The sequence below is a fragment of the Homo sapiens genome, chromosome 5 (genome assembly GCF_000001405.40).
Source record: "Homo sapiens chromosome 5, GRCh38.p14 Primary Assembly".
In the NCBI taxonomy this organism is placed as follows: domain Eukaryota; kingdom Metazoa; phylum Chordata; class Mammalia; order Primates; family Hominidae; genus Homo; species Homo sapiens.
The window spans coordinates 128,773,175-128,786,252 of NC_000005.10; the positions used below are offsets into that span (position 1 = coordinate 128,773,175).

General features: G+C 35.7%; 1 long non-coding RNA gene across 1 annotated transcript in view, besides 1 other annotated feature; it reads left to right on the forward strand.

The window, feature by feature from the left end:
* The window catches only part of LOC105379168 (uncharacterized), a 273,909-nt gene that overhangs the window by 111,318 nt on the left and 149,513 nt on the right, over nt 1-13,078 (forward strand). The window lies entirely within an intron of this gene.
* Nucleotides 1,540-1,619: a silencer, noted in NCBI's record as "silent region_16297". NCBI's record gives its function as "represses an Ori minimal core promoter by ATAC-STARR-seq in GM12878 lymphoblastoid cells {active_cell/tissue: GM12878}" and the evidence as "EXISTENCE:reporter gene assay evidence [ECO:0000049][PMID:35858748]".

Genomic DNA, 13,078 nt, shown 5'->3' on the forward strand with positions numbered 1-13,078 from the left:
ACAAATTTGTACATTGCTATAGAATTTGATACAAGTGTGTTCTTTTAAAGAACATAATCAATAAAACATAAAATCTAAAATCATTTTGAAAAAGCGAACGGAACAAGTTTTTAAGCTTTAAATCAAATTGGTAATTAAATTGCCACTGGGCAATATTTATGAAAGGAAAGTAAGTATGAATGATGGTAAGTAGAGTGACTTTGAACATCACATAGAATATTACAGAAGGAGTCGCAATGAAGCACAGTGCAAATACACTGGGGAAGCCACTTTTTATAAGAGTAGTAAATTGCACTTTGGTGGACAGAGAAAAACATAAAATAAGTCCCCTTGTTAAACTCTTTTAAACTAATAAACAGGATGTGTGGTGCATGGTACTGTGAAAGCAGGCAAGTGTCCAGTGAAAACAGAAGAGAGGAAATACTGCCTACGTGAAATGAAATACAAGGATCTGGCTGGTTGGAAGTAACGTGTTATTCATATTTGTACCTAAGCTGTAATTGCCAATACTGGACATTTTCTGTCATTATATCCGTGACACTTGAAACAGGATAGATGATATGCTTAGAGAACCTGGGCAGAATTAATATACCTGAGAGATAAATTTTAATGTGGAAGAAATATGTGTGATAGTCTGGAAGCAAGCAGATAAAATAACACACTAGCCACAAAACTTTTTATACTTTAGTCACTTGTTCTTTAAAAGCATGTTCATTAGGAATGTTTACTTTTAAGAAGCATCCTCAGTTCCGATGAATAAAATGGGCAGATGGGAAAATCTCTAGATATAGTAAATAAATTTTTTAAAACCCCACTTTAACCTAAATATTTAGATAATTGAGGAAAATAAGGTTTTATCTATTTTAAAGTTATTTATAGAATGGTTTCAACCCTCCATTTCAAGTGTTTACATCAAACTTAAATAAATCATTTCATCATTTTTGTTTCTCTGATTAAAAAAATGCTTATTCATCTAAACTCATGGTATCCTCAATGTTGAGAAGACACTTGATGAGAAGGCTTCTCAGGGTAAAATCTGATGTTTCAATACATGTATATGTTGTGTAATGGTCAAATCAGGGTGTGTACATTGTCCATCACCTCATGCATTTATCAATTCTTTGTGGTGAGAACACAAAATTATATTCCATAAATATATATAATTACAATGTACCATTTAAAAATAATAATATTAAAAAGAAACCTTCTCAAGGGAGCTGCAGTGTGTTTGCAAAACATGATAATAAGCAACAAGGACACATGTTAGTTTAGCAAACAATTTTGTCCACTCATTTGATTGTGAACAAACTTTTGGATCAGAAAGCTCTTTACAATAAACTGCAGAGACTAATTTGAAGGAAATACTTGGTGGTATTTCCCTTGGTCAAAAGGATGTTGTTAAAAAAAAAAAGTTTCCATATTTTCTGACCATAGTGGAAACGTCATTGAGAGCATGAGAAAGAAGGAAAAGGATCAGACCTACCTGGGCTCAGATTCTGGGTCTCCTGGTTATCAGCTAGATCTTTGATAAGTTTTATAATAGCTGAGCTTTGTTTCCTCGTATGTACAGTGCTACTGAGAATTCACATTTGTAGTGGTTTGTGGTTTTGGTTGATAAGCTGACCGATGACGGAGTGCTGTGAGGTTTGGCAATCCTGACCGCTAGTCCTGACTATAGGACAGCTGATATTATGCATTGCATTCGTAAGTACATTAGTGTTCATTACATCCCTGCGAGCATCTTCTGCTTAATTATGAGATTCTTCTCAGTTTATCTAGCTTCTCTACTACCATTGTGATTCCTTTAACTCTGCTCCAGGGTGCAGGCAGTGAGTGAGGCCATAGGGAATTTCACGGAGCCAGATCCAGGTCTGCTGACTAGCCATTTTCCCATTTTCAGTCTAGTCCTAAGCATCATCCCAACATACTCTACAAGCAAAAGGAGGATTGTCATTGTGATTAGTACTTAAATCCTAAAAGACAGATCATTTTGGGGGTGGTAGGGTGTGCAGGAAAGTATCAGCATTACCTTTCAATCTGTGCTAAGATGTATCAATGCATATTAATTTATTCAAAGAAATATATATTGGGCTTTTATTTTCTTCTCATCACTTTAAATGATTCAGAAAAGAAGAAAACAGACATGGCCTTTGCCCACACAGAGTTTATATAGTCTAGCTGAGAAAAGAGACATTAAAGAAACAAAGAATAATATAACTATAGCAACAAGGACAAAGAAGTGTTGATAGAAAGCTTGTTACTCTTTGGAAGATAACTGTTGTTATTTAGGAAATTGTCCTGATGTTTTTTCTGGGGATCAAACAGGGGATTCATATGACATAGCTAAGATGAACTAGGTAGATCCAAAATTAGAAATAACTTCCCTGACATATTAAAGTTAGAACAATTTCAAATTTTGTGGGGCAGATGGGGAAAGAGCAGTTTAGGGACCCAAGAGAGAAAAGGAGACAGCATGAGACATCTAACAACACGGCAAGATGCTGGGAAATACTCACGAGGAAAATTAGCCAGTCAGAAATTCCAGAACACATCATACAGAGTAAAGGAAAAGGATCTTACCATTGAAATGTGAATCTTACTTTTCCCACTCAGCGTCCAATTATAGTAACAGCCTTCAGGCATCTACTTGGAACTTTTTTCTGCCTTAATGCACATGACATTTGTCTCCCACTTGGCAGTCCATTATCATTGTGTTAGACTTCAACTGCCTTTGAAAAGACCCATCTGAGTTGGCACTTTTATGGACCCAGCTTTCTTTTGGACTCAGTTAAACCGAAGGATGGTACCTCCTCTTTAGGTACTTAAAACATTGCTCATGTTGGACACCAATCTCAGTGCCCTTGAGAAGTGTATACCCCTCTGTGCTTTTAATTAGATATTGCTCTTTTTTTTGCCTCAGAAAGAGCCTTTCTTGACTTCCCTTCAAATAGTTGTTGCCCCTCCAATAATCTTTTATTTTGTCTCAAAATTCTTAGGGAAAGTCTTACTAATGAGGACATGAGATTTGCCCATCATTGGGGTGGCATTTTCTATATATATATATATTTACTACATGTCTACCAGAAATGGAAAATTAATCTCAGACACTTAAAATTTCTGAATATTTGAAATTCTCCCCAACTCCTTGACTAAGTCTCACATGCATGGTGTTATGACAAAATTCAAAGAATGTAAATTTTGCAACTCTTATAAATATATAGAATTTAAAAACCTATAAAATCATATTATTCATTATTAAAGGAAAGATTATTGAGGCCCTCAAGATCCACAAAGTCAATTTTGGGAGTGTTACTTAGCCTATATTTTACATTCAAACATGCCAAACATATTTGAGATTTTTAGAGGATTATATCTCAAAATTTTTACACAATTTTGAAAGTTAGGAACTAAATTCTAGTTATGTAATACATGTGAAAAAAGGGTAACCCTAAAAGACTAAATCATTTGGAGTCATCACAAATGTAAGTGTTACGGATGTATGATATGGGATGATTGAAATTACACAAGAGAGCCTGATCTATAAGGCAGTGTCAGGGCAAGTTTATCTGAAGAAGTGAATTTTAAACAGGGAATCTTACATTGCCATTACAACTAAGAATTAAGCCAGGTGAACGGAGTGTGAGTGGAGGCAGTGGGGTGGGAGAAACTGTTTCAGCTGAGGTGATAGGATGGGAAAAATACTTTGAGCGAGAAAGAGAACAGTATATAATTGGGGAACAGAAATAAGGCAGTTTGTAGTCAAAGGCTGGAGTGATACACAGGGGCCAGATTTTAGTCTTTAAGAGATTTTGCCCTTATCCTAAGAGAAATGAGATGACATTGAAGAGTTTTGAACATAGAACTGGCTTAAATGAATGTATTGGAAAGTAGCAAGAATTTCAGTAAGAAACATCCTGGTGGTCAGAAGGTATTTTCCACAGACTGAAATCAGGAACACAGATGCCTTGAAATGGGACAGCGCAAAGAAGCTGTAGGGTTTGAGGGGTGGTGAATAGATTTCAGATGTAATTGGAAGGCAGAATCATCAGGTTTTGGTGGCTCTCTGAAGTGAGAGGAAATGAGAGATCAAAGACAACACCTTACTTTCTAGTAAGAGCAACTGGATGAATCATCAAAAGTGAAAGGGAAACTGACACATTAGATACATAAATACATTGTTAAAATTTTAGTTGTCCCATAGTTATGTGGACAAGGTCCTTAGTTATCAATTTCACTTTACATGAGTTTATAAAATCCCCCAGATTTAAATGATAATATTGTTACTGACCCCTGATGTTACATTCTTCGGTTGCAAATAACAGAAACTACTCAAAGTACTTCAAGTAAGGGGAGTTTTATTATACAGATTTACGGGAAAATGAGAAAAATAGGTTTCTCAGTCATGGTGTTTGGGCCTCACAGAAATCTGGGTAAACCTGCTTTTAGGTACTTAAATTTGGCTAATGTTGGACACCAGCCTGGGTGCCTTTTAGAGGAAGAGGAGGACTGATGTCCAGAAAACACTTTAAGAAATGGAAGGCCATTCAGGAATCCAGTGCTGCTTTTTCAATAAGTTGTTATTATTTTGGCTCTCTTATTAGCCAATGAGAATCAGCCATTCTTTTCATCTCTACTTTATGTTTATTCTTCCTCTTTCAGTTTCCTAGTTGACTCCTGAATTTCCCTACTCACTGACTCTTTCTCAGAGTTCTCAATTCTAATTCCTGAGAGATTCCTGTAGTAGCTGTTGAGTGACACTCCAATGCTAGGCTGCCTCACAAGCTGCTTGTCTGCCTTTAGATAGATTATTGCTCCATTATAAACTCTCCCTAGCCAGTGTCTCTTACCAGAGGGCCTACAAACATAATTAGAGCACAACCACTTTTATCTAAGATATTTTATGATATGCTTCCTTTGGCAGGGACAGTGGAGGTGGCAGTCCCTCTCAAAAGAAATCTATGGGCAAGACAAGCACCACAAAGATAGAAGATCCTGATCCAGCATCTTCTAATTGTATGGGTTTTCTGTTAAATTTTATACGTTTTAAGTTTTTTTTCTTCTCCCAGGAATGAACGAACAAGCAGACCCAGGCCAACCCTGAAAAAACCCATCATGCCAAAATGCTGAAATAGGAGAGTAGTAGATTTAAGATTAGGCTCAGATATAAATGGAGATGCAAACAAATGGTGCCTAGAATCCCTCTAAGGTGGGCAACAGCAACAAAGAAGTACCACTACAATGAGTTCTAAGAGACTGACCTCACTGGAGACCCCTTTTGTTCCTACAGTCACCTTAATTTATCATCGTATTTCAGGAAAAAAAAAAGGAATAGCAGTTATTTCCTGCCTCTTTCTTTGCTTTGAAAAGCATGAGGTGTCCTGGTGAGCTCAGCATATTCCGATGATGACGACAAAACTTCTTAGTAACAGCTAATGATTTCAATAAAATGACCTGGTTAAAGGGCTGCAGTTATTACAAATGGGTTGGAAGGGACACATTTCAAAAATGTTTTTCTCGCTCTTTTCCCCTCCTCTTTCTTTCTTTCTGTTTTCAATGTCCACATTTTTGAACATCCTGAGCTCTTTGCATGTAAATCTGTGTGGGTGGATGTGATGAGAAGCAGTTGAATAAACTTCCCTTGGAGCCGCTAAAGCTCTTCTAGAGGCTAACAGAGGGCAGGAGCAACAAATGGTTCAGAGTTAGCAAAAGATCTCTGAGAGCTGATTTTAATTCACTGGGTTTCCCTTCCCCAAAATACAATATGAAACATTTTCTTTAAAAAAATGGAGAACCCCATTAGGGTTTATTAGGGGATTATGGCCTCCTGTATGTCATAACCTGTGTGTGTAATCATTAAACTGTAGATTTACTCTTATTCTTATTTATGTAGCCATAAATAAAACTGAATGCATTTAAGACACTTTGGGGTACCTAAATTTATAATATTTAGAATCTTATTGATTAGCTGTATGACTTTGTATCTGTTTTTGAGTCAAACCATTTACATGTGTGTTTGAAAATTAATTTTACATCCTAGGAAACTGAGAATTCAATTCCTTGTTTCCAAGTATAAATTCTCTAAATAGATAGACATACAAAATGAGAAATGAATAGATGGGATTATAAGTTCAGGATATAAATATAAGTCAGTAAATTGGTTCTATCTCATAAATTCAAGATTTGAAATAAATTAAGCCTGACCTAAAAGAAGTGGTAGAAACGGATAAAGATTCTATGAAGACTGAAAAAAGAGTATTTATTTGGTATATTTCTTTTCACTATAAAAACTTGTTTCTGTAGTTCCTTGCACATAACTGTCATTAAAACCACATTAATTCTCTCCTTGTACTACTTTTTCTTCATTCTTTATAGCTTATGCTGGGCCATATTTTCCAACATGTTTTCTAATTGCTACCACAAATATCAGCATCGGTAGCTTGAGATACGCTGGTATGACATCCACTTACATAATGGAGATGAAGTTGACTATGTATAATTCCTATGTATACACTGTTTGTTTACTTGTTACTCTTCTTACCCAGACTTACCCAAACTTCTTACCCAAACTTGGGCGTCTCTAAAACAAATGCTTGGACTTTGCAGATGATGCTGAAAACAAATAACGCTGGTATAAAAAAACAAGAATATGACAAGATAAATTTCTGAAGTCAGGAAATAGAATTGCAAAATATATTTACTTAGGTTTTTGTTGGTGCATGAAATAATTCATATAGTTATTTGTTTTCTTGAAACTCAGGGGTTTTTACAGGGTAATGTGAGGCAGACAACTGAGCTGAATGGGGATAGTGGTATTAAGTGAGGGGGCAGTTTATATAAGGTTAAATTCCATGAAAATTGGTGCTATTTTTTTGAGAACACTAAATTAAGACTTTTTCTTCTTATTATTTTTTGGTTTATCCACCTGAAAATCATAATGTTCCTTTGATAAAAGAGAAAGAGTACATGTTTATTTATAGAAAATTGAAAATGAATCTTTTTTCTGATGAGAGAGCATAAAATTTGCAGAATTATTTAAAAATTGGCCCTATGCCTTTCTTTTAACTTCATTACATATTGCATTTTAAAATATCAATTCTCAATATTTAAGTTGCTTTCAGTAGAAAAACCTAGGGAGAGTCTGGTGGCTCAAATAACATGTAAAACCCCATATGGAATGGCTTCATGGATTAAACATCTGCTTCATATTGTGAAAGTATTTGATTTAGATTCTGATGTTATTAGATTGTTGGTGGATTTTTTTAAACTTCCATACAGGTTAATTCTTACTAATTTTAATATAAAGATATCTAAACAATCTGGTTTCAACTGTAAAATTATGAAAACAATGAGTGAGCATTTTATCATTTATATATAGGTTTAGACTCTCTCTTTGAGGCTAAGTATTTGTCCATAAAGTGTATAACATACAATTAGATGGCTATTTTCTCTTCATTTATTATATCTGTTTTGAGGTCACTTACTGGTACTAACATTCATTATATAAAATGATATCATGTAGAATAAAATGAGCATCTCTACAATGTCTTTAATCAGATTTTGAGGTCCTCATATATCACTTCACATGAAAGGTAGATAATGTATAATTGAACTAAATGCTTTAGTTTCTAGGCTGAGCTAAATTAATACTTAGGAGAAGATCACATTCAGGTGTAGGTAAAAGGCGTACAGTACTTGCCGTTGTTTGGTGATCATACTGATTTTTATTAACAATGTGCCTTGTTTGGCATGTCCAACATTCCTCTCCCTTATCCTAATGCCATGTAGACATGGCAGAGCTGCTTATTATACTCCCCTCCCTACATATCTACTCTTTGTCCCAGTCTGTAAGCTAGTTGAGAGCTTCCTAAGGTGGAAATCATTATTGCCATTGACAAGCAAGAGATGTCAAGCAGGAAGAGTTTGGGAGAAGATGGGATAGGGGTTGTCCTTCTTTTCCAAATCTTCCTGAATCTATCTCCCTCTCTAGTTCCTGACTCAATACCTTTGTCACACTAACTTTAATTATTGAGATCAATTACTTTTAGACAGGCCTTGTTGGTTCTGTAAGAAAGAGACAATCTTTGGTCCAAACTGGCCTATCTAAAATCAAAGCAGTGAGAGCATGAGAGCATATAGCACTACTGAAATAGGTCTTACTGTTGGCAGATATTAAACCAGGATGATGGAGTCACATTAGCATGTATTCCATAAACTCCTCCCATCCAAATAAAGGGTGGGCACAGCACCCCGACTAGACCAAGTGACAGTGCCATCCCTATGCGCAAATTGATTCATTTTCAGAAGAGAATACGGCTGAAGGCAGACATTAAGAATCCTCCTCAAAATTTGTTACATGGATGCTGGGGACCCACGGATGCCTCTTTTTCTGTGGCATTGAAAATTTTAAGAATCACAAAAGACATAAGCAGGAAATGTATGTTGTCTTTTCAATTAATAAAAAGCTCTGTTTCTGTCAGAAGAAATAACCTGTAAACAGAAACTGGGTTGAGACATTATTTTAGTCCTTGGATCTGCTGTGCTCGAAGTTAGTATACTAAATTTTAGTCACATTAGGAAAAAATAATGTCCTATTTCTGTGAAAACATAGTTCAAAATGTGTGTCTGTCACTGGTAGTTGACAAATTTCTGTTTACCACATGTAACAAAAATCACATCAAATTTTGTTTGCAAATTTATATTTGCTTGATGATTCTACTTACTAATTAAGTGGTAATTGTAATGATCAGTATAAATATGGTTGATTTTGTAGATATCTAAACTTAACTGCTCTGATTGTTAGGCAAGTGAAGCTATTGTTTGGAGATCAAACCCAATGGCATGTTTTAAAGAAATGGTCAGCTGCTTTTTATTATTGTGTCTGGGGTTGAGATGCTATTAATCTCTGTGGTTTACTACTTAGAGAAAGATATTGTCCTTAAAAATGCAATCCCAAGATCCTTTGGCCAACGACACAGCAGATAGTACCCAGAGAGGCATATTATGGTTGTAACTGGCAGCGGGGCTAATAGGAAAAACTCTTGAAGGTACAGAGATGGATACGAAAAACAAATAGGTAAGTTGATTGTTTGAGTGGGTGAAAATTGTTCTGTTAATGACATCTACCATTTTCATTGTGCTAACTTTCCTGTTTTCTTTAACTGAAATCTTTTTTCTAGAGCAGTTAACAACCATTGTGTACTTTTACAGGAAAAAAGCCTTCGAAGACTGGCGAACAAAGATTTCAGTTTTTGTGTGAAGTCTAACTTTCCCAGGAAGGGAAAAAGCCAAAAATTTTAACCTAACCGAACATAAACTAGTGTTTCTTTTTTCTTCCCTCTAAGCATATTCAGAGTCCACACCATTTCTAATGCACCACTGGGGCAGAATGTGTAATGACTAATAGCCTGGCAGAGACCCAGGTGACATGTGAACACTGCGCCTTGGCCATAGCCAGTTAGCCTGGAGCAGACGCCAAAGTTTATTGTCTTTGCAGTTTCCTGGCCTTCGCCAGTAAGAAGTCATGGCTCTCACCAGACTTTTTAGCTAGGCTATTCATGAATTGCATATTTATTGGCATTTTTCAGCAAGAAGCTTAATTGTATGTAAGTCAGCTGGCAGAGAAGACCCACTCATAATGCAATTAGGAGAAAGTCTCATTATTTTATGGTTATGTTATGCTGAGAAACAGTCCATGTATCCCTCTGTTTGTCATTATATTTTTGCTTACAAACAGACACAGGGACAGGGAAAGGTATTTATAAACTCTGCTGTGTGTCCTGAAGTTACCATGCCATAGCGGGAGAATGCTGGGGACTCACAGGCCTGGGTGTCTGAAGAAAAGTTTCATGGTGGAAGCTGCTTTACTCAAGTCTCCTTTTTGGGCTTTTGAGGTCATTTAACAGTTGTCAGGTACAGGTGGGAAAACAAAATCTTGTTCTGATCCACTTTTAGTTCATTGTCTTTAATCATTACTGCCATAGAGAGGTCTCTTGTCCAGCTCAGTTCCTCAGATAGACATTGGGGAGAAAACTTCCCTTGGGCACGTGTACTAGCTACTTCCTGTCTAATCTTTCAGGTTTCAAATTTCCCCACCTATCTTAGCAACAGACCTGGGGTGAAGCTGCCCAAAGTCTTTTAGGTGTAACAGGGACTATGGCAGTTCACATTCAGGATTCACTTTTAAGTACATAGGATGCCTTGTGATAGAATTTAGGAGTCTAGTAGAGTCATTTAGGATTCTAGAATTCTTGTGACTTTTTTTTCTTTCCCACATAGGCATTTAGATGCTATTGTTTAAGGTTTTGAAAGACTTAGTTATAAAATCCACTACTTTCACCTGAAATTGATCTAGATAATCCCCATTTTGTTAGATCGTCAGTAAAACCCAGCTGAAGATAATGATGAATAGAGACAAGAGGGAAACACTGCATATTTGTTTACTGTATATGGGAAATTCCAAATCAATAATTCCCCAAGAGGTTCCAGAATCTTACCTTAAACCTCCTAATCACGTCTTATAATAGGTTGAAAGATATATCCTTATGATTCCTTTTACTCATCCTCTAAAATGATGACATCAGAGCAGACCTACAATCCAAATTCCATCCTTGATAGCAGAGGCCAATTTTTTCAATGTTTCTTCACTGCTAAGGGGATGGCTCTATTTCAAAAACAAAATATTCCTAGGCTTACATTTTTTCTAAATAAGGAGTTGATAGAAATCTGGTTTGACACCATGTTGATCTTCATCTTTGGTCTTCTGTTTTGATTTTGTGTGTGTTTTTCAATAAAAAATAATTCTATCTTTTTTGAGGATCCCTAAAGAATTTCCTGACCTCTAAGCTGTCACAAAGGTCAGAGGCTACACCTAGAAAAGTGCCAGTTTGGGTGTAAGACAACTGTACCTAAATGGAAATAAGAAGTTTATTTTGTTTTGTTTTTTTCTCAGCCAAGGACAATGATTCTTAACCTGAGTCCTGTTCATTTACTCTATGGGAACTCTCAGGTTCTGTGAAGCTCATCACAACTTAGATTTGTGATGAAAATGAAAAGTAATGGGTATTTCTTTGGTTCCCTGCATCACAGAGTTTATCCAGGCTTATCTTCTCTTATCTTGAAAACTTGGTGTAATTCATAACCCCATTAAACAAGCAAGGGATGCCAAGCAGGAAGGGTTTGGGAGAAAATGGGAACATTGTTGTCCTTCTTTTCCGAATCTTCCTTACTCTATCTTCCTCTCTAGTTCCTGACTTCATACCTTTGTCATGCTAACTTTAATTATTGGGACCAACAACTCTTAGACAGGCCTCGTGGCTCTGTAAGAAAGAGACAATCTTTGGTCCACACTGGCCTGTCTAAAATCAAAGCAGTGAGTGCATGTAGCACAACTAAAATAGGTCTTTCTGTTGGCAGATATTAAACCAGCATGGCGGAGTCACATTAGCATGTACTCCATGAACTCCTCCCATCCAAACAAAGGGTGGGGACAGGACCCAGGCTAGACCAAGTGACAGTGCCACCCCTATGCCCAAGATGATTCAGACTAGAATATAACCCAAGCATTAATTAACATGTTTTAACATGCAGTTCTTAAGAAGATGTCTAAATAATACATAGATCTTTATATGCGTATAAATATGATAAAGTGAATGACCTAAGTATAAATGTAAAAAGCTGAAAAGTGAATAAAAAATAAAATAAAAATAAAAGGAATAAAATAATAAAAATAAATGTGGAAATTAATCCAATAGATAATATTTGAAAAATAGTGAAGGAAATTAATCCAATAGATAATATGTGAAAAATAGTGAATAAAAACCCAATTTGTTTTTCTATTAAGTCCAGTGAAGTAAAACTCTGGAAAAAATAAGAATGCCCACTGTCAACATCACATCTAATATGCCACTGAAGGACCTCAGTGATACAGTGAGTTAAGAAAAATACAAGAAAAATGCAAGTTACATACCATAAAAAAGTGTGTGTGTATCAGAAATGTGGATATTTTATATATAAATATATATATATATATATATATATATATATATATATGTATATATAAAGGGGAGTTTCCTAAGTATTAACTTACACTATCAGAAGGTTCCACAATAGGCTGTCTGCAAGCTGAGGAGGAAGGAGAGCCAGTCTGAGTCCCAAAACTGAAGAACTTGGAGTCCGATGTTCGAGGGCAGGAGGCATCCAGCATGGAGAAAGATGTAGACTGGGAGGCTAGGCCCATCACTCTTTTTCACATTTTTCTGCCTGCTTTATATTTGCTAGCAACTGATTAGATTGTGTCCACCAGATTAAGGGTGGATCTGCCTTCCTGAGCCCACTGACTCAAATGTTAATCTCTTTTGGCAGCACCCTCACAGACACACCCAGGATCAATACTTTGCATCCAATCAAGTTGAGAGTATTAACCATCACATATATATATATATATATATACACACACACACACACACATACATATATATATATACACATACACACATATGTATATTCAGGTATAGGTGTATGTGTGCACACACATATACACATACAGATATACACACATATATCTGAATGGAAGAAAAAATGATATCATTTGTAAGCAATATAGTTTTATACTGAGAAAATGCAAGAAAAATAATGGAAAAACTACTAGAACTAATAAGACAATTCAGAACGGTGACTGAATAGAAGACTGACACATGAAAATCAGTGTTAGTCTGATTATATTAGACTATAAGTATCTAAAAAAAGATTAGCATATCATGATCTATAGAAGATTCAAATCATGAAGGTGTTAATTCTTGAGAAAGCAATCACCAAAGTCAATGTAACTCAATCAAAATTTTAACAGGATTTTTCATGTACAATGACAAGCTCATTTTTAAGTTTATATGAAAAAATGCATAAAATAATCAAAAAATTCTGAAAAGAAACAATTACTCCAGGTATCAATGTTACAATTTTCTCTGAGTACTTCTATATTCTATGAGTCACGAACAGGTGCTATCTATGTATTACTTGTGTAATTTAACAAATGTTCCAGCTGGGCCTGGTGGCTCACGCCTGTAATCCCAGCCCTTTGGGA